Consider the following 25,559-nt stretch of genomic DNA (forward strand, 5'->3'; position numbering starts at 1 on the left):
AGAGCCTGGCGAGGGTCTCGCGCTGCTGGGAAGGCGGAGACGCCGGGGCGCGCGTGCACCCTCGCGCCTGCAGCGCCGCGCACGGCCGCCAGGTGCCGCTGTGGCGCTCAGCGCGCCGCCCGCCCCGCCCCAGGGAACGCGAAAGTGGCGCGGGCCTGGACGGCGGGACGGACCACGTAGGGCGCTGAGAAGGTCGCGCCACGGTGGGCGGGGCTCCGGGCCCCTCCCCCTCGGCCGCCCTCGCGCTGTGGTTCGCTCCGGGCGCGCTGCGCTCGTGAGTTCCCAGGAGGCCTGGCGGGCACCGTAACCAGCGCCGCGGACACCGGCACCGGCGCCACGGACTCCGCAGGACCCCGCGCCCGCCGCCGCCGCTATGCTGGGGCTGCTGGTGGCGTTGCTGGCCCTGGGGCTCGCTGTCTTTGCGCTGCTGGACGTCTGGTACCTGGTGCGCCTTCCGTGCGCCGTGCTGCGCGCGCGCCTGCTGCAGCCGCGCGTCCGTGACCTGCTAGCTGAGCAGCGCTTCCCGGGCCGCGTGCTGCCCTCGGACTTGGACCTGCTGCTGCACATGAACAACGCGCGCTACCTGCGCGAGGCCGACTTTGCGCGCGTCGCGCACCTGACCCGCTGCGGGGTGCTCGGGGCGCTGAGGGAGTTGCGGGCGCACACGGTGCTGGCGGCCTCGTGCGCGCGCCACCGCCGCTCGCTGCGCCTGCTGGAGCCCTTCGAGGTGCGCACCCGCCTGCTGGGCTGGGACGACCGCGCGTTCTACCTGGAGGCGCGCTTTGTCAGCCTGCGGGACGGCTTCGTGTGCGCGCTGCTGCGCTTCCGGCAGCACCTGCTGGGCACCTCACCCGAGCGCGTCGTGCAGCACCTGTGCCAGCGCAGGGTGAGCGGCCCCCGCCCCTGGCCCCGGAGCACGGCCTTTGTGGGACCTCCGGGGGCTCCTCCTAGTCCCTGGCCCCCTCCCCTAGGGAAGGCCCGCTGCCTGCACCTCTTTCGGATACTGCTGGAGTCCTGCCTCTTACCGCTCCCGCCCCTCCCTCTCTACCGGGGGCATTCCTCACTGATGCCTTTGTTCGTGGGGGTTCCTAGGGTCCCCGAATCAACTCTTCATAGTCGGGCTTAGCGTGCTTCCCTCCTGCCATTTCTTAACCTGGCCCCTCACGGTTTCGTGTTCACCCCTCTCCTCTCTCCTGGTACTCTGTTCTGTGGCTGGAGTGTTGACCTCTCTGGTCCTTGGTCCTGAATATAGGTTGGAGAGGTGATCAGTTAGAAGAGGTTCCTAGGAGTTCCCGAGGACCTGAGCCCCCCTTTCACACAGCTTAGAGCTGAAGGGCTGGGTTCTGGTCACCTGGGTTTGGGGTTGAGGTATTGAGCCGAGTAGCTGAAAGCCTTCTGGCCTTTCTGCAGTTGGAGAGAGGAGGGCCATGCACCTCCCAGGGCTCGCTCCTCCCAGCAGGGCAGAACCGCCCCTGCAGCATGGCACCTGGGGCCCTGGGGACGGCCACCAGGCCGATGTGGCCAGACCAGTTGCCAGAAAAGTTGCCTGGAGCGTCCGTGCAGGAAGCCAGGGCCTGTGCACCCCTGGTGTGCCCTTAGGGCACTGCCCTCTCCGGTCTCGGACAGGTGCCTCCCGAGCAGACGAGGGTCAACGTCTCATCTCAGTCCTGATGTTACAGGAAAGGGATTCAGATCCAGACCTCAAGGGAGGGTTCTTGGATCTTGTGTAAGAAAGAACTCAGGGCGAGTCTGCAGCGCACAGTGAAAGCAAGTTTATTAAGGTAAAGCGGTGAAAGAATAGCTGGTCCGTAGACCCAGTAGCATGTTCCTGTAAGAGGAGGAACGCGTCCACCCTAGGTGCAATGCTTGTATATATGGGGAGATGTGATCTGCTACAAGGGTTTGTGATAAAGGAGTAATTTTCTTAATTACTATATTTTGCAAGAATCAATATTACTATTTTCTTTTTTTTTTTTTTTTTTTTCAGACGGATTCTCACTCTGTCGCCCAGGCTGGAGTGCAGTGGCGTGATCTCGGCTCACTGCAACCTCCGCCTTCCGGGTTCACGCCATTCTCCTGCTTCAGCCTCCCCACTAGCTGGGACTACGGCGCCAGCCACCACGCCCGGCTAATTTTTTGTATTTTTAGTAGAGACGGGGTTTCAAAATCAGGAATGCCTTTGTTCTCCAGACATCGGGATATCTGGACACTCCCAAGTCTGGGTCTCTTTAGTAAACATTATTAATTTGTTCCCTTAACTGTGTTTGAAACGCTTGTTCCCCGGTGCCGTAAAGAAATAGCACGTGAACATAAATTTAATTTCCTCAGCAAGGCCATTTTTACTTCCTGCAGAAAGGGTACACTCGCCAGCAGCTTTGCCATGAGAGTACACCGAACAAAGGAGACAGGCTCATTTATAACCTGATGTGTAACAATCGCTTTTATTTAAAGTGCGAACGGAATATTTAATCCATTTCAGCCAGGGATTTGCATCTTGATACTCTCTCGATGGCTAAGGTCTGTTTTAGATCTCTTATTTTTACAATAGACACCCTAGTTTTATTATTAGATGTAGAAGCAACCGGTGTGAGATCTAGAACTGAGGCTACTGAAGAAGGGGGAGATGGGGGAATAATGCGTATTTAAAAAATACCTAGGGGGTCTTTTCCATTTATGTCAATCCCCATACCACAGAAGCGACTGAGGGCAGGTCTAGAGTTAGTTAAGGTGGAGGTGGTGATAGAGAAGGACAGGGTTACACTGATAAGGCTGACAGTTCGAAAGGGTAGTCCTTTCAGTGAAATAGATGAGGGGTTTTAGATCTGCACAGACCTTTTTCTTGGAAGTTTAACTTTGCTCCTGAGCAGTTGAATGTGTATAGTCCCGTTTACTACAAAGTTGGCAGGCTATAGGAGCAGAACATTGGCATCTTGGCTGCAGGTCATTACGATAATGAGAGCTAGGGGTAACCATGTCCATCAGAGGGCTGGGACGTAAGCATTTGTGTGAAAAGGCTAGCTGTTGTTGATCTTTTACATTTCCGCAAGGTATGACAGAACAAGCATTCAAGGCGGTGGTCTGAGGTGAGTTAGTTACAGTAATAACAAAGGCGCTAGTAACAATAAGGAAAGGAAGCAATATGAAGGTACAGGAAAATTAAGCTTTCTTTAACTTTAACTTAGTAGGATTGGTCCTAGTACAGTCATCCATGATTCTGAGAGAAAGATGTTTTCTTGACTGGAGTGTGGTCGTTTTTTTCTTGGCTCTGCGGATGGCAGTCTCAGTGGTTAACAGCATAAAATAGGGTTCTTCCCAGGCTGGCTCAAGTTTTTTCTTTCTGTCTTTTGATGAGGACGTGGTTTTCAGGCTGGTGCTGGTGTACTGGAAATTCTAGGGGTGGTACCTAGAACTAAAAGTCTTTTAGTTCTGAGGGAAGGGAAACTGGAAGATAAATTAAGTATATCATTTTTGCTGCATATCCTGGGGCTTGAGGCCCCATGGTGATGCCTCCCGCTCCATTCCTGCTCAGCGCCGCCCAGGGGACACTGCGGCCCTGCCTCCTCTTAAGCTCTTGGCCTTCTTGGGGCCTTCACTGCCCCTGTGCACTGTGGCCTTGGACATGAGGGGCCTTGTGACTTACCTGGCCACCTTCAGGCCTTAAGAAAGCTAAACACCATTTTATATTTGACAGTGCTTTTTGTATGATTTTATACCAGATAAGTTAAATTTTACCTTTATACTAATGTGCTATTAATGTTAAACTTAATAAAATCTTTTTTTTTTTTTTTTGAGACAGAGTCTTGCTCTGTCGCCCAGGCTGGAGTGCAGTGGCGCAATCTCAGCTCACCGCAAGCTCCGCCTCCCGGGTTCACGCCATTCTCCTGCCTCAGCCTCCTGAGTAGCTGGGACTACAGGCGCCCGCCACCATGCCCAGCTAATTTTTTGTATTTTTTAGTGGAGATGGGGTTTCACCGTGTTAGCCAGGATAGTCTCGATCTCCTGACCTCGTGATCCGCCCGCCTCAGCCTTCCAAAGTGCTGGGATTACAGGCGTGAGCCACCGTGCCCGGCCAAACTTAATAAAATCTTGTAGACATTATTTATTCAATTTTAATGTCTGACTATAGGGTAAGATTTTTATAGACTCTTTTTAAGCTTTTATAATTTTTGTTAAAGAGCGGGTTAGTGCTTTAAGAAAAATCTATTGTGCTTTTAACATCCAGTTCACAGAAAAACTGCATGATACCCCTTTAGCTTTAGCCAATATGTTTACACACAGAATTTCCTTTACAATTAACATTTTAAAACTTGCTTAAACCTTTAAAACAAAATATATTTTTTAACCTTTTAATGTAGGTAAAAATCCATATTATGTCTCCTTATAATCCTGTTATTAAAAGTATTATTTTATTTTTCTGACATACCTTGTATATAAACTGTTTTTTTTTAAATAATTTTACATTCAGGAGGCCTAATTACTTTTAAATTATACACTATTTCTTGCATAAATTCCCTTTTATAGCTTTTCTTACAACTTTCACAATCTTCAACATGTCTTAACTTTCTGCCTGCCTTTTACGCTATTTCTTTTTCTCAGTTTCACCCTCTATGTCTTCCTTTGATTTCTGTCTCTTCCAGTTTCTCTCTTATTCTTTCCCTCTGTATTTTAATCTCTTTCTGTCTCTTCTCTCTCTTCACTCTCTTCATCCCCTGCTTCCTTCTTCCCTCCTGAGTTCTCCCGCTCCTGCAGCAGCAGGGCCGGGCAATGGCACCAGCCCCTGGGCATGCACTGCCGTCAGTTTCTCTATCCACCCCCACCATTCCCCTTTTTACTTTTTTTCCCCTTTCTTCCTACACTTAGTTTCTCGGGCTGGGTGGGATTTGCATGGCTGCAGTCCGGCCCCGGCAGCCCAGAGGCTTGGCAGATGCCTGCCACAAATTGCAAGAATTATGCCCTCTCACCTCCTCTGCTCTCTTCCTGGCGCCGCTGTGCTTGCTGTTTTTGCTTTCTTTTTTTCTGACTTCCTCTCCTAGTTCTTTTTCCTGTCTGCTGGTCTTTCCTTTGTCTCTGCCAGCCACCTATGCTGCTGTTTTCCCCCCTCTCCTTCCCCTTCCCCTGGGGGACCAACCAGCGGGAGTGAAGCTTAGCCTTTTTCTTTCCCTGTGAAGAGGGGAAAAGGGAGTTTTGAATATATATATATATATATATATATATATATATATATATATATATATTTTAACTACTGGAGGTTTGTGTGAGGTTCAACCCCCTGAAATTAATGGAAGACTTAACCCCTCAAACCAGGGGTGTCTTGCCTTGCCTGCCCTGGGAGGTTGACCTGTTTCCTCCTTTCCCCCCAAAGGTCCCTTGCATACTTCCCACTTGTGTTGTCCTCTCTGGTCGCCCCCCCAAGGGAGAATTAGGCCCCTCTTAGTGTAGGCGTGCTGGTATAAATCCCACAGCAGGACCTGCCCTAAGCCATATGAGGTCACTACAGAACCGGAACCATGGAGGGGACCCACTCACTGTCCAGCAGGAGGACTTGTCACCGTCCACACAAACCACACTGCAAGCAGGGTTGTCTGTGATCATTCACACATACACACATTCAGCCCTCCAGAATTTCACCACCAAGGAAGTACTTTACCAGCTTCTGTGGCTTCTCCTTCCTTGGTCTGTGCACAGAGTTGCAGCCCTGGTATGTGAGCATCCTTTACCTTAGGTTGCTGGCCAGTTTCTTTTTTTTTTTTTTTTCTGCATTGCTGAGAGTCCGGGTTTATTCGTCACACCAGGTGGGTCTCAATTTCTCATCCCTGAGGCCACTGCAGTGAGGCAGAGGAGCGTGCTCCCTCATGAGAGAGGAACAGAGACCGCCCCCGCAGGAGAATGTAGCCCTGTACGGATTGCCACCAAATTGTTTGAAATGCTTGTTCCCCGGTGCCGTAAAGAAACAGCAGTTGAACATAAATTTAATTTACTCAGCAAGGACATTTTTACTTCCTGCAGAAAGGACACACTTGCCATCAGCTTTGCCACAAGAGTTCACCCAACAAAGGAAACAGGGTCATTTATAACCTGACGCGTCCACCCTATTGCCGTCTCTGGTTTCCATTGACTGGGATGGGACCTCACATTCTGTATCTGTCCCGATTGGCTAGCAACGTACAACTTTTTAAAAGAGGCAAAGGCAGAGGAGAACAAAGGAAGGAAGTAATTTGTGGAATGCTGAGAAAGGTAAAAACACCTTCAAATAAGGAAGAGGAACAGGCTATGACCTAATGCCCGCTTGGACCAGTATAAGCATGCCAGGGCAAATATTTAGGCTAAATTGTGGGAGCTAAGAACCTAAAGTAGTACATTGCTTTCTTTATTACTGCTAGCAGATATTTAATAATGTTAGCACAGGTCTTTGAATAAATTTTGCTTCTAAGAGAAGTTACTATTTATTCCTAATTAGATCGGTAGGAAAGTCTTTGAAGAGGAACCTCTACTTTACAACTAAACATCTAGAGGCTCGGAATGCCTCTTTCTGGGGATGCAGCCCAGCAGGCCCCAGCCTCATTTCCCAGCCCTCACTCAAAATGGAGTCGCTCTGGTTCCAGCGCCTCTGACACTGAGAGGTCATGTCAGGAATGGGGAAACTGAGGCTCAGAGGAGCTATGGCACTGCACAAAGCTACACGGCTCCCTGGTCTTCTGTTTCTGTTGAGTCATGTGAACCAAAAAGTATCGGAGATATGTCTCAGTCAATTTAGAAAGTTTACTTTGCCAAGGATAAGGACTCACCAGTCCTGACAACATGTGCCCAAGGTGGTCGGGGCACAGCTTGCTTTTATACATCTCAGGGAGGCACAATACATCTGTCAGTACATGTAAGATTCACATTGATGCCATCTGGAAGGGGGGCTTTCAGGTCATGGTAGATGTAAAAGTTTTCTGATTGGCAGTTGGTTGAAAGAGCTATTATCAGTAGAAAGGCATGTCTGGGTTAAGATACTGGTTGTGGAGACCTAGGTTTTATTATGCAGATGAAGCCTCCAGGCTGCAGGCTTCAGAGGGAATAGATCATAAATGTTTCTTGTCGGACTTAAGGTCTGTGTTGTTAATGCTGGAGGGCATAACAGGCCTGTCCCACACCCTCTTCTATCATGGCCTGGGCTAGTCTTTCTGGTTAAATGTGGAGGGCCCTGGCCTATTGGAGGAAGTTCATTCAGATGGTTGGGGGTACCTTCCGATGTTATTTTTGGTTTACAGTCAGGAACCCCCTAAAAGGCCTAGATCTCTCTCTGTCCCCAGGTGCTGGACTCTATGTCTTTCATGCATCTAGAGTCCAGAGGCAAAGGCCACCAAGGCTGAGAGCCGGGCACGGAGGCCGAGGAGATGGGGAGCCAGGGTTGCTTTTCTGGGAAAGAGGGAGTGATAAAATCAGGCATGGGCTGGTTGGTGAGGTCCCTGTGGGAGGTGAAGGCTGGGACCCAGAACAGCAGAGACTCTGTCGATGATGTGGAAAGACCGCGGCTGCAGTTTGGGCAGGCTGAGCCAGGGTTGGGTCTTGCATGTTGAGAGGCTGGCCTGCGGTGATGTGGCCAAAGAGGAAGAGCTGGGCTGGGGTGAGTGTTGGTCACATGGTTGAAACTAGGTGGGGAGGGGAGTGGTCCAGGGGAGAGTCCAGGCCCAGCTCTGCTGGGACTTGCCATGGGGGTCACGACTCATCTGCAGGGAAGGTCTGGGCTTTATCTCTGAGCACCTCTGTGTGCTGCTCACCCTGAAGTGGGGGTGGGCCTGTGCCTGGCCTGTCCCCTCATCCTGGGAGCTCCCAATGCCCATCTGCAAGGCTGTGGACCCCTCAGGAGTGGCCTGGAGCCTGGCTCCCATTGCCACATGGTGGCTGTGTGTGTGGAGAGGGTTGATAGTGGAGTGGTCAGGCCCAGGCTGCCCTGGGGGATGAAGTGCCATCCTCTGGGTGCCCTGGAGAAAGAAGAGAACTCAGTGAGCCCTGTCTGGTACTTTCCTGGAGGAGGGCTCCCATGCTGGCCCTCCACCCCTCTGTCCCCTGTCACCCTGAGGCCTCTGGATTTCCTCTCTGCCCTTCCCAACCTGCCAACTTCACGGGTTTCTGGCTGGGTTCTGGGGATGGCCCCTAGGGGAGACGGGCCAGGCACAAGCGGGGCTGTGTCAAGGTGGGTATGCAGGGGTAGCACAAGTGTGCAGAGCCTGGGGAGGCATGGGCAAAGCATGGCAGGCGGCGGGGCAGGGGATCTTGGAAGGTCACGGGCTGGGGAGCAGTGTGGGCAGCGGCCCAGAGGTGGGAAGGCCGTAGCTTAGCTGGGTGTCCCCTTTCTGTCCTCTGCAGGTGGAGCCCCCTGAGCTGCCCGCTGATCTGCAGCACTGGATCTCCTACAACGAGGCCAGCAGCCAGCTGCTCCGCATGGAGAGTGGGCTCAGTGATGTCACCAAGGACCAGTGACCGCCACCTTCACACCGTCTGCCCTGGCCACCATCCTGGGCCTGGGGGCTGCCCACAGATGGGCAGTCTCAGCCATACTCTGTTCCAGCTGGAGTAGCCTCCTGACCAGCCTGGCCCACCCTGCTCCACCCACTGGGCCCCCCCAGTTATTGATACCCCTCTGTGCTGGGCTCCACGCTAGGCAGAAGGAGGAGTGGCATTGGCATCCTGACCCAGCTCTGCCCTCAAGGTGGGGATGGATGGGCAAAGGAGAGTCCTGCCTGGCCCTACGATGAGGCCACTCATGTGGGCCTAGGTAGGGGAGGATGGTGCCTGGAGCAGAGGGACCCACAAGTGCCTCCCGAGCCTAGATCCTGGCTCGGACCACTGCAAGGGCCGAGGCAGGGCCAGACCAGAGCATCCTGGGTACAGGCCTGGGCTCTCCAGGGCCTGGGCCTGATTCAGGTGCAGTGGGCACTCCTGAAGGGTCAGAGCGGCATCTGCCAGGCAGCCCCTCTGGCTTCCGCTGAGGTGGTTGCAGGCCTGGGGCAGAGCCTGGGTGGTCAGAGGCCGGGGCTAGAGGCAGATGGAAGGGAGGCATTTGCTGACAGAGGACGGGGCACCCGGGCTCCCCACTGCAGTCGGCCTTGCCTCCTCCTCCTCCTCTACCTCCAGTCAGGCTGGACGGGAGGGTAGCCTTGTGGCTGAGAGGGGTCAGACTAGGTGGCACAGGGGCTCCTGGAAAGACAGCAGGCTTCCTGCTGGGCGTTCCCTTGTTGGAGGGAATAGAGTGGGGGTGGGACTCTGCAGGGGTGTCCTTGTCCACTCGCACCCCTCGCCGCCCACCAGGGCCATGCTCTGTGACTTGGGCTGATCCCCACCCTTTCTGGGCCTACAGCACCACAGGCCGCTGTACCCCCTTAGAGCTGCCCCTCTCTGGCCTGGCCGGCAGGCGTCTTCTTAACTCCTCTGTCCTCTATATTCAGCATGTTCCTTGTCAGCTGCTGGGCCGGCCCTGCCTTGCGCTAGCAGAGCCTCTCCTGGCAGCTTCTCAGGTCTCCCTAATGGAGACACCAGGCTACTAGGACACTGGCTGGGGCCACCCCCTCCTGCCTAATGCCTCACCTTACAGCTGGGGAAACTGAGGCCTGGAATGGCCCAGAGTCACCAAGGCAAAGTTGGGGCTGGTCCCAGCCTGAGGCTCCAGCTGATGCCCTCAGCTCCCAGAGAGGGGGTGCCCCATCTAGCTGGGTGCAGGGGTCACTGCTTGTCAGCTCAGGGCCCTGTGCCCGCTTGCCTGTTCCCCTACATCTGTGCCTGCACATCCAGAACTGCCTCCTTGCCGCTGCCTCCAGGAAGCCCACCTTGAGCCAGAGTCAAGGGCTGCAGCACTGCCCGATAGAACACGCCCGCCCTCACTGCTGTTCTTGCCTTACAGCCACCATGGGAAAGCTGCAACCTTTCTGTTTTATTTAAAGAAAGCCCAACATTAAAGGGTTTTCATTGCAAGCGTGCTGGGGAGGGCCTTGTTTCTGAGCTACCACCACCACCATCCATGCAGGGGCGGAGGTGGGACCAGGGAAGCTGGGGCACATTCCCAAGATGGGTGTCTGGCATGGGGGGCTATCCAGGTTTGTTGGGCTCCCGTGAACTTAGGGATCAGGCTGGCAGGGCAGGGCTTGTCCTCATCCCATGGGGCATAGGACTGAGGCCAAGAAGGTGCTGTCCAAAGCCCCCTGGGGAGCCAGCCCTTCCTGCTCCGGCCCTCCTGGTTCCCAGCTCTCGAGGCTTGCAGCCCCATCTACAGATGCCAGCGCCAGGTTCCCGGTTTCCCTCCTTCAGGGATTACCCTGGCGGTCATGCCTCAGACTCTGGGTCTGGCCCTCCAGGCTCCCAGAGCCTCGGGCAGGGTGCTGGTAGCCATTGGGGGCAGAGGTCAATGGACTGGTGGGTGGACAGGAGGCAGAGAGAGCATGGGGGCTGTTCTGCAGGCCCTTCAAAAGGGGTGGGGAGAAGTGGGACCCTCCGGGACATAAAGTTGAGTGAGGCGGGGTGTGGCCACGTCCATGCTGTGACCACCTTCCTGGGAGGGTCCAGAAGGCTCTGAGGGCCAGGGAAGGAGTGGGCAGTTGGAAACAGCTATGAAACCGGCATTTAGTGATGGGGCAGTAGGGCTGGGGAGGGGAAGCAAACTTGCTCAGCAAATCTGGGGTCTGTAGCCAGACTGGTTGGCCAGAAGCCTCTGTGCTTTCTCTGGGGTCCTTGGGGGAGGTGGCTCGTGGGGTCGCCACAGGTGTGTGAGCTGAGTGTTGCCAGACAAGCTTCCCAGTGGGGCTGCAGATGAAGCTGTAGGGATGCCGTCCAGCTGATGGTCCTGACCATCTGCCTGAGCCCTGGAGCAGGGCGGGGGCCACAGGACAGGGTGCCTGGGCCTTGGGAGGGCACCATGTGATGATGCCACTGCGGTCCCTGGCTCAGCAGCTACCTCTGGGTCGTGGAAGGCACATTGGCCTGGATAGGGAGTAGGGCTCAGTGACTGGACTAGGAATGAGTGTATCCAGTGCGCATATGGATGTGCGTGCCTGTGTGCATTTGTGTGTGTGTGTGTGTGTGTGCGCACGTGCACGCAGGCAACGGGCAAGCTTCAAGGTGGTTGAATGGGCAGCACCCGCAAGCCTCTGGGGCTTCTCTCTCCATGCAGAAGCTGAACACCCTGGGCTGTCATAGGCTGGCTCAGAGGAAGGTTTGAGCCAGCAGGGCCCTCTCTTGGTCTTGTTTTTGGAGGACGGGCTGACGACAGGACTGGCCCGGGTCAGGGAATGGGTGGCTGGGATTGGAAGTGAACCAGTGCCTTGTCCTGGCGGAGCCACTGGAGCCCACTCTGCTCCTGTGAGCCTGCCACTCGGAGAAGTTAGAGGGCAGCAACTGCTTCGGCCCGCGTCCTTCCCCCAAGGCCAACAGCTGCAGAATTTCTGCCCCAGCCGCCCCCACCCCCGGAGGTGTCTGCACAGTGTCCAGGTGTCGGGCCCAGGAAGCCCTTGGTGGATGCTGGTGAAGAAGGGACAGGTACAGGGTATGGGAGTGTGTCCGGAGGTCCTGGGGTGGTGGCTGTGCATGGGTCCGTCGTCCTGGGGGAGGAGGCACTGTGCCCTCTGATGGCCAGGTGGACAGAGTCACGACTGCTTTGGTGGGTGTCCCCGGGGCTCACCCTAGGTCAGTTGCCTGCTCAGTCTCAGCATCCAGCCACCGCCTCTGGGCTCAGTCAGCTGACTGGCCACTGTTGTGTCCCCTCAGGGCCCAGGGACACAGATCCCCACATCTGAGGCCTTGCTGAGTGGAGTTCTACTGTGCCTGGTGTCCGGAATTCTGGGACAGCAGGACCATCGCCCACCTCATGGATAGGGAAACAGACTAGGGCAGGGAATTCCCAGTATGGCCGCCAGGGGCTCAACGAGGCAGGCCAAAGGGGCTGATTCGTCCCAGGCCCAGGCCGCCGCTCCCCGCATGACTTCCCCTCTGGACACCTGCGAGTTGGGGGCACCCTTGGGGAGGTGGAGGGTCTTGCTCCTGAGGGCGGGGAGGGACGCCCTGCGGTCTGCACACCCCTCTCCTTTAGAGATTTCTTAAAGCTGCGGAAGACTAGCGCTGGCTGGTCTGACCTCTCCGCGGTAGTGGGGTTCAGAAGGGCCTCTGCTTCCCCTCCGCGCAGTAGGGCCTAGCGGCACGGGTGGGCGCCCTTCTCCCTCCCCTCCACCGCCACCTCTTGGCGGCTGGCTGCTTCCCCGCCAGCTTTACCCACGTCCTGCGACGGTCACGGATGCGACGCCCACTCACCTCCCTAGACCCCGCGCGCCCGGGTGGTGAGCGCCTGGCCTCCGCGAGCCCCACCCCGTGGGCGCGCCCTCCCGAGGTCCCTCCCTGGCCGTGGCCTCCCCACGCATTTCCTGGGAGGGTCGCGGCGACAGGCAGGGCAGGTGGGCGTCCTCCAGGCCGGCCGAGAGGGCCAGGGCTCTCTGAACTCTGTGCTGCGGACCCCTACGGTCCAGGCGGCCCAGCTGCGCGCGCAGTGCAGGTTCCGGGCAGAGCGCACAGGGTCGCCGCGTGCTCGCGGTGCGCGCTCTGGGACGAGTCTTCCTGGCGCGGGTTCCGGGACTCGGGCGCGCGCCCTCTGCTGGCCGTGCGGGCTCAGCATCGGGGGCCCCTCGCAGGTGCCCTCCCAGGGATAGGGGCACCTGCTGAGCCTTCACCACTGCGCTCCCAAAGAGCCTGGAGGCCTCATCCCCATTGTGCCGCTGGGGACGCTGCCAGAGATGCGGCGACTTCTTGCTCCGTCCCCCTGGTGAGGCCAAGGCCCTGCCCCCTTGGCTCCAATCGAGGCCCGGGTGAGGCCCTTGGAGGTCCGGCCATGACCCAGGGGACGGGCCCTAACCGGAAGCCACGCCGCCGGCCCGGTGCTGGCCAACGGGGAGGCCCGGGGTAGCCCTTCAAGGGGGCCTCTCTGGCAGCTTTCTCTGGTCGGGGCTGCTCCCCAGGGACAGCATTTAATTCCTGGTATTTCTGGGAGGGCGTAGAGGTAGGGGGTGGGTTCTGACATCTGGGCCCTTCATAGACAGAGGTGGGCTCTCACAGGGGTCCTAGGCGACCCCCGCCACTGCCCTGGTTACTCCCGCATGCTCCTCGGGTATGCCCAGCTGGTCTGACCACAGCCTGCTGCATACCGCTCCCACCCCAGCAGGCACAGGTGCCCACAAGACCCCACGGGCGTGACCCAGCTGATGTGTGGGGCCTTAGAACCCAAGACCTAGCTGGGCAGCGCTTAGATGGTGTGCAGCCCAGGAGACACCAGGGGACTGGGGCCTGGAGAGGGGCAGTGTCCAGGGGTGGCTCAGGCCCACAGCAGCCCGTGCTCCCCGTTGGCTCTGCCCACCTGCCGACAGGGGTGACAGTGGCACAGAGCACTGTGACTGTGATGGGACAGCCAGGGCCAGGAAGAGGGGGAAGCGAGCCTGGAAGTCAGGTCTCCTGGGTCCTGAGAACCCGGGGCTCCTCCGCTAATCTCAGCTGTCCCAAGGGGACAGTGGGCAGTTGTCAGAGGAGGTGACTGAAACCGTGGAGCTGTGTGGTACCAGCAGGCCCAGGTGCACACACCCAGGAAGACCCCTTGGGCTGGGCAGGCAGAGCCAGATGTATCCACCCTTGGAGGAAAGTGGATGCCAACTCTGAGCTTCCTTCCCTCTCTAGGGTGGGAGCGATGTCTCCAGGGTTTACAGGGGAGATTCTTAGCGGGAGATGTTCCCTGGGCTAGGGTACAGGTCCTGGTCTGAGATGCCAGGCTAGTTTGCATCAGGAAAGGGGCCCAGGAGGCATTTCTTCCCCTAAGTCTCTGTTTTCCTATCTGTGAAATGGGTCACAGAGGCTCTGGGTGAGAGGGAGGAGCAGGTGCCTAGAATGTGCTGTCCTTCAGCCTGGCTCTCCTGAAGGCCAGTTCTGTAGGGTGTCAGTGCCCAGGAAGGACAAAAGTCATGTCCACTCTTGGCTTAGTTATGTTTTATAAGCGTGGGGTATGGAAGGCAGAGGGCGCCCCTGGTGTGCTTCTCTCCCCTCAGACCCCATGAGTGAGCTGTGCCACAGCAGCAGGAAGCAGGGGGAGGTGATCACAGGTGGAGCCAGGCCCCGTCAGAGAGGAGGTGCCTGAGGAGCACCTTCCGCCCTGCCGCCCTGGGTTCAGAGTTCCGAGTTGCAGAGGTCTCGGAAGCAGCAGAAGATCAGGTGGGCGGCCCCGATGCTGTCGGGGTCGGTGGCCACACAGGAGCTGGAGCAGGAGCGGGTCACCACGGGGCTCTGGTTGAAGGGGTACTCTGCAGGGTGGGCCAGTGTCAGAACCCTCACTCCCCTGCAGCGCCTGCCTGCTGCTGCACTGCTCCCAGCCGCCGTCGCCTGACCTCACCCTCCCTGTGATCCCTGTTCCCAATAGTCCACATCTGTGAAGCCACCCAGGGCCCAGCCCTCCTCTGACTGTGACCTGTTCATGAATTATTAGGCCTTGTCAGACCTCTGAAGTGCCTGCGCTGAGATGGGAGCCCGAGCCCAGAGGCTGTGGCAACACCACCCAGTGGGTCTGTGTCAGAGCTGGGGTTTGAGCCCCCCAGGGTACCCCGGCCATTAAGCCCCACCCACCTCCAGCGCCTGGTGCCCCAGGACTGGGTCTCTGAGGGGGCTGTGCCACCCTCGTGGAAGGCACCCCTGCCAAGGTGTGGCAGCCTGTTCTGCCCATCCCACCTGCTGCCTTTTGGGCCGGGAGGAGCACCAGCAAAGGAGGGAGGCACTTGGGGGAGGTGGCCCTGACTCCAGTGCACCCAGGGCTGCCGTGGGGCCTGGCCTCACCTGCCTCCACCGTCACCAGCGTGGTCATGCAGGCTGTGTCCTCTGGCTTGCAGCGGGTAATGGTCCTGCAGGAAGCACTGGTCATGGGCTCCTTGCAGGTGTAGCACTTGAGGGCCTCACCTGGGTGAGGGATGGGGGCAGAACCTCATCACCTGACCTCGGTGGCCTCATCCTGGAACCAGGAGGCAGGGGCTGAAGGAGTCTCGCTGACATCTTTCAAGGCCCCGGGCAGCCCTTCAAGGGGCCTCTCTGGCAGCTTTCTCTAACTGAGCTGAGCCACAGACTTGAATGCTGCATCCCTCCACCAAGCCTCAGTCTCCCTTCCTGCAGAGTGGAGCCGTGACCCCTGTCCCAGGGTGAAGCTGGGCTCTGGGACCCAGGAGGCTCACTGAGAATGAGGAGGGTGAGCCTCATGGAGGCCTAAGGAGGCTCTCAGCCACAAAGCACCCCCAACAGCCCCATCCCCCTAGGAGGTGGGCAGACAAGCTCAGAGGCAGGGTCCCCACCAGCCTGCGGCCCACTCACCACAGCCCATGCTCCAGGCTGCCACGAGCAGCAGCTGCACAGCCCAGCGAGAGGCCATTGCTCCGTGCTCAGAAGTGATGAGAGGTAGCCAGCCTCACATCAAGGATTTATACCCAGGCCCTTGGGCACCGGCTTCTGGGCGGTGGCAGAACCGGCCGTGTGAGTCAGGAACGTGGTAAAGGGCCCAGTGGGGAGGCAGCTGGCAGGAACATGGCAGACGGGCAGGGAGCTGGATCTGGGAGCTCTGTCTGAGGACGATGGCCAGGCCTCTGCTTGCACACCTCCAACACTGGGGAACTCACTGTTCCTCAGCCATGTCCAGTGGTCCTGGGACAGCTCTGACAGAGAAGGCCTTTCCTGCTGAGCTCAGACTGCCCCTCTGATGAGCCCCCATGTCCTGGCTGTGCCTCTGGGGTTCACATAGGCCACCCAGCCCCAGCCTGGGGGACCCTTAAGACCCAGGTTCAGTGTAGCCTCTGCCCTTGTTGCTCTAGCCCCGCCTGGCACCCCTTCCCTGCAGCCTGGCCTGCAGCCCTCTCCACAGACCTCTACCTGGTCTGTGTACACCTGATACACACCTGCAAAGTAGAAACCAGAGGTAGGAAGCAGGTGTCAGGTGAGGGTAGCATGGGCCAGCTAGACCACTCTCAGGCTGACAAGGTTGGGCCCAGGAGTGGCCCCTCATCACTGCCAGCCCCTTCCCACTAATGGCCTTTAGACCAAACCTGAGTTTCTTGATTTTAGGCGCCTGACAATAAGGTTCTGCTCACCCTCCAGCCTCCTGGCCTGACTGTGTTGTCTGCTCTTTACTGCGTGCCCCCCACGACACCCTGTTCCACACGCATGCCTGCCTATGCCATACCGCTCAATGACCACATTGCCTGGTCTCCCATCTGATGTCCCACATCTTCCCCATGCTGTGAGACCCACTAAGGTGCCCCTCTCCACAGTCCTTCCAGGTATACCAGCCTCTCTGGTTTCTCTGTCCTGTGATGTCCCAATGGGTGGTTGTATAGATGGATGAGTTGATGGATGGATGGATGGGGGATGGATGAATGGGGGATGAATAGGCGATGGATAGGGGATGGATGGATAGATGGGTGGGGGATGGATGGGTAAATGAATGGGAGATGGATGGGTGGATGCATGAGTGGATGGGTGGATGGATGGGTAGATGGATTAGTGGGGGATGAATATGGGATGGATGGATGGATGGTAAGAGATGGATAGGAAATGGGTGAAGGATGTATGGGTGGATAAGTTGGGGATGAATGGAGGATGGGTGGGGGATGGATGCATAGATGGATGGATAGGTGGATGGATGGATGGATGGGTGGATGGATGGGTAGATGGATGAGTGGGGGATGAATATGGGATGGATGGGGGATGGATGGTTGGATGGATGGGGGATGGATGGGAAATGGGTGGAGGATGGATGGGTGGATGGGTGGGGGATGAATGGAGGATGGGTTGGGGATGGTTGGGTGGATGGATGGATGGGTGGATGGATGGGTAGCTGATGAGTGGGGGATGAATATGGGATGGATGGGTGGATGGTGGGAGATGGATGGGAAATGGGTGGAGGATGTATGGGTGGATGGGTCAGGGATGAATGAAGGATGGGTGGGGGATGGATGGATAGATGGATGGATGGGTGGATGGATGGGTGGATGGATGAGTGGGGGATGAATATGGAATGGATGAGGGATGGATGGGGAATGGGTGGAGGATGTATGGGTGGATGGGTGGGGGATGAGTGGAGGATGAGTGGGGGATGGATAGATGGCTGGATGGGTAGATGGATAGATGGATGGATGGGTGGATGGATGGGGGATGGATAGGAAATGGGTGGAGGATGTATGGGTGGATGGGTAGGGGATGAATAGAGGATGGGTGGGGGATGGATGGATAGATGGATGGATGGATAGATGGATGGATGGGTAGATGGATGAGTGGGGGATGAATATGGAATGGATGGGGGATGGATTGGATGGATGGATGGGGGATGAATGGGAAATGGGTGAAGGATATATGGGTGGATGGGTGGGGGATGAGTGGAGGATGGGTGGATGGATGGGTGGATGGATGAGTGGGGGATGAATATGGGATGGATAGATGGATGGATGGGTGGATAGATGGGGGATGGATGGGAAATGGGTGGAGGATGTATGGGTGGATGGGTGGGGGATGAGTGGAGGATGAGTGTGGGATGGATAGGTGGCTGGATGGGTAGATGGATAGATGGATGGATGGGTGGATGGATGGATGGGTGGATGGATGGGTAGATGGATAAGTGGAGGATGAATATGGGATGGATGGGGGATGGATGGGGAATGGGTGGAGGATGTATGGGTGGACGGGTGGGGGATGAGTGGAGGATGGGTGGGGGATGGATAGATGGATGGATGGGTGGATGGATGGATGGGTGGATGGATGGGTAGATGGATGAGTGAGGGATGAATATGGGATGGATGGGGGATGGATGGGGAATGGGTGGAGGATATATGGGTGGATGGGTGGGGGATGGATAGATGGATGGGTGGGGGATGGATAGATGGATGGGTGGGGGATGAATGGAGGATGGGTGGGGGATGGATAGATGGATGGATGGGTGGATGGATGGGTAGATGGATAAGTGGGGGATGGATGGGTGGATGGGTGGGGGATGGATGGGGAATGGGTGGAGGATGGATGGGTGGATGCGTGGGGGATGAGGGGAGGATGAGTGGATGGATGGGGACGGATGGGTGGATGGGCAGAGGATGGGTGGGTGGATGCATGGATGGATGTTGGATAGATGTGTGGATGGATGGATTTCAGAAGGATGGATGGATGGAGGATGGGTGGATAGGTGGGTGGAGGATGGATGGATGAATGGGGGCAAGATGGGTGGATGGATTATTAAATGAATGACATTTGAGAGAGTTGATGTGTGAAAAAATGAATGAATGGATGGGAGAATTCAGGGATGGAGGGATGGGTGGCTATAAAAGTGGCGGCAGACAAATGTGTAGTGAATGGGCCCTTCCGAGGCAGAATTCGATGCTGGAAGGAGCTCTGGGCTGGCACCAGGAGTCCTGGGTTCTGGTCTTGGCCTACTGCTCTCTCCATTTGTGGCCTTGGTGTGGCCCCTTTTTCCTTCCAGTCTTTGGTTTTCTGTTTGTAGTTGTGAAAGCTGAAGTGACCTGGCCTTGTGGGCTGAGGTGAGTTGTGTGAGGCTGTGGGATGGTTGCAAGAAAGCCAAGGGAGGGCGTAGTTACTGCAAATCAAACAAAGGGGCTGACATGGGTTGGTGCACAGATGGCAACCAAGAGCAGCCTCTCCCCAGGGCTTGGTCCACAGACACACCCAGGTGTTTCGAGAGGAGTCAGAGACTGTCCGGTTCTGGAGCCTGAGCTCCACCCGGCCTCCCGTGAAGCCCATGTCTACTCACAAGGACTCTCACCCCACGTTCTTTCATCTATAAACTGGTCAGGGGAACATCTGCCAGAGGGTGGTTGTGAAAACTAGCAAGTATCTGGCAAAGGATGGGCCTCCATCAAGCTTTCAACTCAGCTCTGTGCTGATCACAGTGCAGGTGTACTTGGGGCAGAGGTGGGCGGATGCTGAGGACAGGGGTACTGCTCTCAGCTGCTGCTCACATTGGCTTTGAAAGGGAGGGAAGTCCTCAGAGGGTGCTCTGGGTGGGAGTAGCAGCCAGCAGAGGGGCACAGGCAGCCTTTCCGCTGTGTGGGAAGAGTGGGCACTAACTTGGCCCATCCCTGAGCCCAGCACCCTATTGGCAGGTGGAAAAGCAGCACTGTGTCAGACACAACTCAAGCAGGGAGAATTTATGCCCTAGTTAGGTGACTGCCCTCCCCTCCTCCTGCCTCTCCATGAATCCACACCTTTTCCCGACATGTGGAACCAGGAGACCAGGTTTTTTGAAGGCAGCTCAATCCCCCAAACCCCAGAGTTCTCATCCATGATAGGCCTGCAGCACTGAGCCAGTTCACACCAAGCCCCAGCTATCTGCCATGTCAGCCCGGTCTCTTTCCCAGAGGCCTGGCCCTTTCTCCTTGGCTACACTCTCCACCCTCCACTCAGAGAGACCAGCTAAAATGCAAACTGGCTTATGGCACTGCTCTTCCCAGAAACGCTCCCTGGCTCTCCACTGCCTTCAGCATGCAGTCAAAAAGCCCCACCACCACTGTTGGTGTTTGATGCTTGCCCTGTCTGGGCTGGCCTGAGGGACTACTGGACTGTCATCTCCTCAAGTAGAACATGTTTCCATTCCTCTAAGAATCCTTCTCCCACAGCCTGGGTCTGACCATGCTGACTGTTGAGCAGCATTTGCTGGAGGATGGATGGATGGATGGATGGGTGGATAGATAGATGGGGGATGGATGGAGGATGGATGGATGGATGGATGGGGAGATGGAAGGGGGATAGATGGATGAATGGGTAGGTGCATGGGTGGATGGATGGGGGATGGATGGATGAATGGGTGGGTGCATGCATGGATGGATGGGTGAGTGGATGGATGGGTGGGTGGATGGATGGGGGACAGAAGAGGGATAGATGCAGGGGTGGGTGGATGGGTCGATGGATGGGGGATGAATGGATGAGTGAATGAATGGAGACTGGACAGAAGACGGATGGATGGGTGGATGGATGAGTGGATGGATGGATGGTGGATGGATGAGTGAATGGATGGATGGATAGATAAATGGATAGGGGATGGGTGGATGGATGGAGAGAGTGATGGATGGGTGGGTGGGCATATGGGTAGAAGGATGGATAGGTGAATAATGTATGGCTAAAAGGGGAGATGGATGGATGAGTGGGTGGGTGGAGGAGGGATGGATGGATGGATGGATGGATGGATGGATGAATGGATGGATGGATGAGTAGTTAAAGACAGGCTTAATGTTGTTTCTTCCAAGGTGACCCAGGATGGGTATTTGTGGGCATTCAGGTTGACTTCTCCCCAGGGTACAAATGCTCTTGCAGCCTCTCTGACAAAACTTAGCACAGGTTTGGACACCCCTGGGAATGGGAATCTTACTCCTTCTCAGGGCAGTACCTGCCCCACTGGGACAGACCTGTTTCAGGCCTTCTTCCATGGGAGCTCAGACTTGCCAGTCTGACACCCGCAGCCTTGGTTCTGACCCTGTATCCAGGCTGCAGAGCCAATTACATCTCACAGGCGAGTCTGATAGCTAGTCAAGTTCCTTGGAGGATTGAGGTTTTTTGCATAGACAGGCACTGAGTGAGCTCTCAGGTTTGGCTGCTGATTTAACAGTGGGCTAGGGTAGAGAGGGGGAGGCAAGGAGCTGGAGGTGGCTGTGATAGCTACCCAGGGACATTGGCTGGTGGCTTAGATGGCATGATGACAGTGGGCACAGGGCTGAGGCCGAGGAAGATGTCCTGGCAGTGGGGTGGGGGGATTGCTAATGCTGAGTTATGGGAGGTGGTGGCTGAGGTCCTGAGGGTGCTTTGTCCTCTTGAAGGTTAGTGCTGGGCTCCAGCCTTGTCCTGACTGTATTGTCTGCATTTGAGATCCAGACATCCCTGCCCTGGGGTGGGCTGGGCCCTGCTCCCTGAGGAAGTGTGGCAGGTGTTCATCCTGTTCTGGAAGGTCGCAGCAGATGGCCTTGGGGAAGTCAGGAGTAGAAGAGAAAAAGAGGACGGCTGGCAAGGTGGTCTCATCATTCCTCTGATTTCAGGGCCAGATGTAATGGGGCCAGGGCAGAGGGTGCTAGAGCTGGCAGTTCCTAGAGAGGAGCAGAGCCCACTCCATCAGCCCGCCAGGGGTGGGAGTGGCCTGCACCACCAGACACTGAGTTCAACTGCTCCCCTCGCCTGCCTGCTCCTGGCTCCTCTTCTAACCAAAATCTGGAACCACTGGCTCTTCCTCTTCCCATCAAGCCATGTCCTGCCCTGCCCATTTCTACAGGCTGTGAAACTGCCCAGGGCACTGCACTGGTGGGGCCCTGGGTCCCTGCCCTGGCACCTCACTATAAGCCTCTCCTACCCCACTGGCAAGCTGAGGAGTAAGCCTGGATGAAGGACTTGGGTCATAGGGAATCTCAGGGACAGGTACCCAAAAGGTGGCATCATGGATGGTGAGGTTAAGGTCAAAGATAGGGCTCTAAGGCTTGGATTGGGCCTCACTCATAGCCTGTGCTTGGGCCTGAGCTGAGCCCCTTTCCCTATCATTGACTGAAGCCTTTTCCTGATCACACAATCACACACTGAGCCTGGACCCTAGTTACAGATTGAATCCTGATCCTTGGCCCTTGACTGAGTCATACTCCGTGGCTGAGCCACAGGCTCACACATGGAGCCAGGACATCAATCATAGATCAAGGCCTGGCACTGCTTACAGACTGAGCCCTGATCAATGGCCAAAGACTAAGCCCTGATCCTGATTCCAGGCTGAGCCCTGATCCTGTTTCCAGGCTGAGTCCTGATCTCTGGTCACAGATAGGCCTTGCTCCCAGTCTCTGTGAGGGGTTGTGAAATGCATGTGTGTTTGTAGGGGGTGTGTGTGTATGTGTAAATAGAGTCTCAGCCTAGGCTTTGAGGCCACTTTGTGGGAGTCTTGAGAAAAGCCAGCTGAGAGCTGTGACGTTTGATGGCTGAGAGCATGTCTCCCTCTTGACAAAATCAGAGCTCAGGGTCACAGCCCGGATGGGGCATCCAAGACAGCACTAGAATGTTCCCAGCCTCCCGGGCCCCTTCCTCTCCAGGAGGCTGCCCTCATTTTACCACCAAGGCGTCTCTGACAGATGGTGGCTGTGCTCCGGGTGGTGGGGCCCCTGGGAGCAGGCCCTGGACCATAGCGCCCACTGTGGACTACAGGTCTAGCCCCAGGAGGGTGACACCCAGGGGCCCAGAAACAGCTGCTGGAGCAGGAAGGGTGAGGTGGGTAGGCTCAGTGGGGGTCTGCAGGGCCCAGGAGGAGTGGCAGTTTCCAGGGTGAACATTCTCCTCTCCTAGCCAGGCTGGGGCCCATCTCCTGCCACGACCTCCCTTGGGCAGCCCTTGGGAGGAGCCGGCGCTGGGTAGGAGGGCCACTGGGTCCTGTCCTTCCTCATGTCCTTGAGTTCCTTGTGTGTTTCTAGGACCACGTGCATGTGTGTGCATGCGTGTCCATGCCTGTGATCATGGGGAGTCTCAGCCTGGAGGCTTCTAGGGCAGAGGACTCCCTGGAGAGTTGCCTGGAGGACTGGGGCACTGGCCTAGGGCCAAGGTGAAATGAAGGCCCCTTCTGCACCAGAACTTGTGGCTGCCCTGGGCATCTGACCCCCTGGGCACCTGACCCCTGGGAGCAGAGCTGAGTGAGGGCAGGGATGTTAGGTGGACATGTGGGGTGAGCCTGGAGAGGCAGGCAGTGGACACACTGGGATCCAGCCTATGGTCTCCTCCTCAAAGCAGCCTCCGCCATCAGCCTTGGGGCAAGGCCCTGCTCAGGCTGGGGAGGTGGGTAGTGGGGTGCTCCAGAGGACAACCCCAGCTCCTGGTCACTGCCTTGACCTTCCTTCCACCTGACATGCCTTGCCCTCCTCAAGGCCTGCCAGATCTCTCCATCCTTCAAGGCTTGGCCCTAATGCCCCCTCCTCCAAGGAGATGGCCCTGACTTCACCCTGGTAGATGTGGTGCTCCCTTGCCGAAGGGTCTCAGCTGCTGCCCCACCCTGGTCAGGCCCCCACATCCCCTGAGGGCAGAGATCTGCATGGTTTGTGTGGGGGTCCCAGGCCCAGTGGCTGTTCTCACGATGGGATAGAGCTTAACATCACAGGAAGGCAGGAAGAGAGACAGACACACAGGAACGGGGACATCGACGAGGTCAGAGATGCAGCAGGGCAGGTCTGTGCCCAGAAAGGAGACTCAGGAGTCCTGGTGCAGGGGGCACTTCTTCAAGGCATTCGGGGCTGGGCCGCATAGGGCCATGGGGGTGGGCGGGGACTCTACAGTCGGAGGCTCAAGAGTGGGAGGAGCGTGAGGGCCCCGCAGTGGAGGCTGTTCAGAGCGGGCGCCCCGTCTACATTGCACAGCTCAGTATTGCAGCAGGACACGGGCAGGGTCTGGCCGATGCCATCCACATCCGAGGGCTTACACTTGCTGGCACAGGACTTGGTCACCGTGGAGTCCCCCTGGAAGGGGTACACTGTGGGGTGTGGGAAGAGTCAGCCGTCAGGGCTGGTCACTGCCTCCAAGCCCTGGTCCCTGCCAGTACCACCTCATGCAGGCCCCACTCTGGGGTCACCCACCCGGGTCTCCGTCCCTCCTGGCCCAGTGCCCTCCTCTTCCTCTCTCCTCCCACCGACGTTGTCCGGGTGTCTACCATGTGCCAGGCACCCGGCCTGATGGGGCAGTTCCCGCCCCGAGGTGACTGTTGAAACCAAAGCCTGTAAGTGTGCCCAGCTTCTCCAGTCCCCCCAAAACGAGGTTGCAGATATGTTCCCACCGAAGGACATGAGGGAGAGAGGAAGGAAGGGGAGGGCAGAGGGAGGCCTAGCTCGGGCAGAAAGCCATTTCTGGAGATGGGTGAGGTGGTGGCTGTGCACTGGGGCCAAGCTGGCTGGTGGTGACTGGGCTGGAGGTGGCTCTGACCGGGAACCCAGCCCTGCCCGCCTTCCGTGCTCACTGCCCTATCTCCTGGGAGTAGAGTGTGACTGGGCTGGAGGTGGCTCTGACCGGGAACCCGGCCCTGCCCGCCTTCTGTGCCCACTGACCTATCTCCCGGGAGTAGAGTGTGGTCTTGCACATGGTTTCGTTGGTGGTGCAGGTGGCGATGGTGACACAGTCCGACACTCCTGTGGGCTCCGGACAGACGTAGCAGCGCAGGGCCGGCGCTGGGGAGAAGGGACAAGGGCGGTCAGGCAGGCTCCACCCCTCCCAAGCCCAGAGACAGTCTGTCCTGGAAGCCCAGGTCTGAAGAGGACAGTGACACTGGCCAGGGTAGAGATGCCTACCAGCCAAAACTCAGGAGCAATGCCAGGAGCCTGCAGCTGGGGACAGGCCGGGCTCAGCCTCGGAACCTTGCATCCCAGAGGCAGAGTCGGCTGCTGGGGGTGGGGATCCAGCCTGCAAGGCCTGGGAGGAGCCAAGCCAAGCCCCTTTGGAAGTGTTTGGGAGACTCAGGGGGACCAAGGCCCTGGCATCTTCATAGCAAGAGGCACCTCGGGCAGGAAGCCTTGGGTGGGGGCGTGGCTGGGGGCAGGTTACCCCCTCAGTTTCCCCATCAGGGAAGTGCTGCTGTGGAGGTCAAGGGATCAGGCCAGGAGGCCCATGGAATGCAGGGTGTGCCAGGCTGCATCCGGGCTGTGTCTGGGTGCCCACTCCTCTCCCACAGGGACTTGCAGACCGGCAGGGACGGGGACCGGAGAGGCTCCAATTCCCTCCTGCTCCGGTGACCCCGGCCCCAACCGCAGCAGCCCAGGTGGGTCTGGCTGGTTCCAGCTGGCCAGGGCAGCCAGCTGCACAGCTAGGCCCGACTCCTCTGTCCCCACTGTGGGGATGCAGCGGGGCCTCTGCCCCTCTCTGGTGCACCTGTTTCTGGGAAATGGGCAAAGCCATCTGCCAGGGGCCTCTGGGCCAAGCTGCTTCTGGTTGAGTCCAGGACATTGCCCCTGATGGTTGTTTCAGGCTCCACATCAGGGAGTCACCCCACCCCATGTGTCTGGTTTCCCCACTCCTCTCCATCTCTACTGCCACCCCAGCCTCAGAGCCTCCCTGGGGTTGCCTTCCTTCCCCCGCTCAAGGCCCTTCTGGGTGCCCATAGCCCCCCATAAAGTGTGACACCCAGGCTGGTGCTCAGGGGTGTGGCTGGCTGGGCCCCCGCCCACCTCGAAGGCCACCCTCTGCTCACCCTCATTAGGCGTCCCCCTCACCGCCAGCCCCTCTCTCCGTTTCCACCCTCCCCTCCTTATGGCGGGGGGGCCACACCCCCGGCCCCACAGCTCTGGCTTCTCCTGCCTCTGAGGCCCCTTCCTGGGGCGCCCTCCCGGGAACAGTGTGAATGTCAGTGGGTGGCATCTCCCTCCGTCCCAGCTCCCCTGTGGGTCCCACACCTCACCCAGCTCTCCGCAGGCAGCCAGCACCAGCGCCAGGAGCGCCAGCCGCGTCCCCCGCATGGTCCCGGCCCACTCCTCTGTGCTCTCACCCCAGGCTTGCCTGGCGGGGACAGCAGACACCAAGTGAGGTGGCGACAGACT

The 25,559-nt window shown here is 57.5% G+C and overlaps 3 protein-coding genes across 5 annotated transcripts, besides 5 other annotated features; 1 reads left to right on the top strand and 2 right to left on the bottom strand.

Moving 5' to 3' along the window:
* Window positions 6-445: a silencer, noted in NCBI's record as "silent region_19604". NCBI's record gives its function as "represses an Ori minimal core promoter by ATAC-STARR-seq in GM12878 lymphoblastoid cells {active_cell/tissue: GM12878}" and the evidence as "EXISTENCE:reporter gene assay evidence [ECO:0000049][PMID:35858748]".
* On the top strand, window positions 250-9,954 carry THEM6 (thioesterase superfamily member 6). Of its 3 annotated transcripts, NR_156431.2 has the most exons (3): window positions 250-886; window positions 1,988-2,517; window positions 8,353-9,954. NR_156431.2 is itself a non-coding variant. In NM_016647.3 (2 exons), exons 1-2 carry the CDS (start codon window positions 374-376, stop codon window positions 8,464-8,466), a joined length of 627 nt encoding a protein of 208 aa, NP_057731.1. In that variant the 5' UTR covers window positions 250-373; the 3' UTR covers window positions 8,467-9,954. The 3 variants fall into 3 exon arrangements, 2 of the variants coding, with proteins under 2 accessions (NP_057731.1, NP_001349929.1); NM_016647.3 differs by lacking the exon at window positions 1,988-2,517; NM_001363000.2 differs by lacking the exon at window positions 1,988-2,517 and having other exon boundaries at window positions 250-727.
* Window positions 746-995: a silencer, noted in NCBI's record as "silent region_19605". NCBI's record gives its function as "represses an Ori minimal core promoter by ATAC-STARR-seq in GM12878 lymphoblastoid cells {active_cell/tissue: GM12878}" and the evidence as "EXISTENCE:reporter gene assay evidence [ECO:0000049][PMID:35858748]".
* Window positions 11,416-11,982: an enhancer, noted in NCBI's record as "H3K4me1 hESC enhancer chr8:143819807-143820373 (GRCh37/hg19 assembly coordinates)". NCBI's record gives its function as "activates a minimal SCP1, AML or CMV promoter by ChIP-STARR-seq in naive and primed H9 embryonic stem cells {active_cell/tissue: H9 hESC(naive and primed)}" and the evidence as "EXISTENCE:reporter gene assay evidence [ECO:0000049][PMID:30033119]".
* Window positions 12,231-12,510: a silencer, noted in NCBI's record as "silent region_19606". NCBI's record gives its function as "represses an Ori minimal core promoter by ATAC-STARR-seq in GM12878 lymphoblastoid cells {active_cell/tissue: GM12878}" and the evidence as "EXISTENCE:reporter gene assay evidence [ECO:0000049][PMID:35858748]".
* Window positions 12,551-12,630: a silencer, noted in NCBI's record as "silent region_19607". NCBI's record gives its function as "represses an Ori minimal core promoter by ATAC-STARR-seq in GM12878 lymphoblastoid cells {active_cell/tissue: GM12878}" and the evidence as "EXISTENCE:reporter gene assay evidence [ECO:0000049][PMID:35858748]".
* SLURP1 (secreted LY6/PLAUR domain containing 1) lies at window positions 13,976-15,433 on the bottom strand. The gene is made up of 3 exons (NM_020427.3): window positions 15,355-15,433; window positions 14,830-14,949; window positions 13,976-14,303 (listed from the first exon to the last, which is right to left on the bottom strand). The coding sequence occupies exons 1-3, from the start codon at window positions 15,410-15,412 to the stop codon at window positions 14,170-14,172; spliced, it is 312 nt and encodes a 103-aa protein (NP_065160.1). The 5' UTR covers window positions 15,413-15,433; the 3' UTR covers window positions 13,976-14,169.
* On the bottom strand, window positions 23,177-25,559 carry LYPD2 (LY6/PLAUR domain containing 2). The gene is made up of 3 exons (NM_205545.3): window positions 25,421-25,559; window positions 24,078-24,197; window positions 23,177-23,509 (listed from the first exon to the last, which is right to left on the bottom strand). The coding sequence occupies exons 1-3, from the start codon at window positions 25,476-25,478 to the stop codon at window positions 23,310-23,312; spliced, it is 378 nt and encodes a 125-aa protein (NP_991108.1). The 5' UTR covers window positions 25,479-25,559; the 3' UTR covers window positions 23,177-23,309.

This window comes from Homo sapiens, chromosome 8 (genome assembly GCF_000001405.40).
Source record: "Homo sapiens chromosome 8, GRCh38.p14 Primary Assembly".
NCBI lineage: Eukaryota > Metazoa > Chordata > Mammalia > Primates > Hominidae > Homo > Homo sapiens.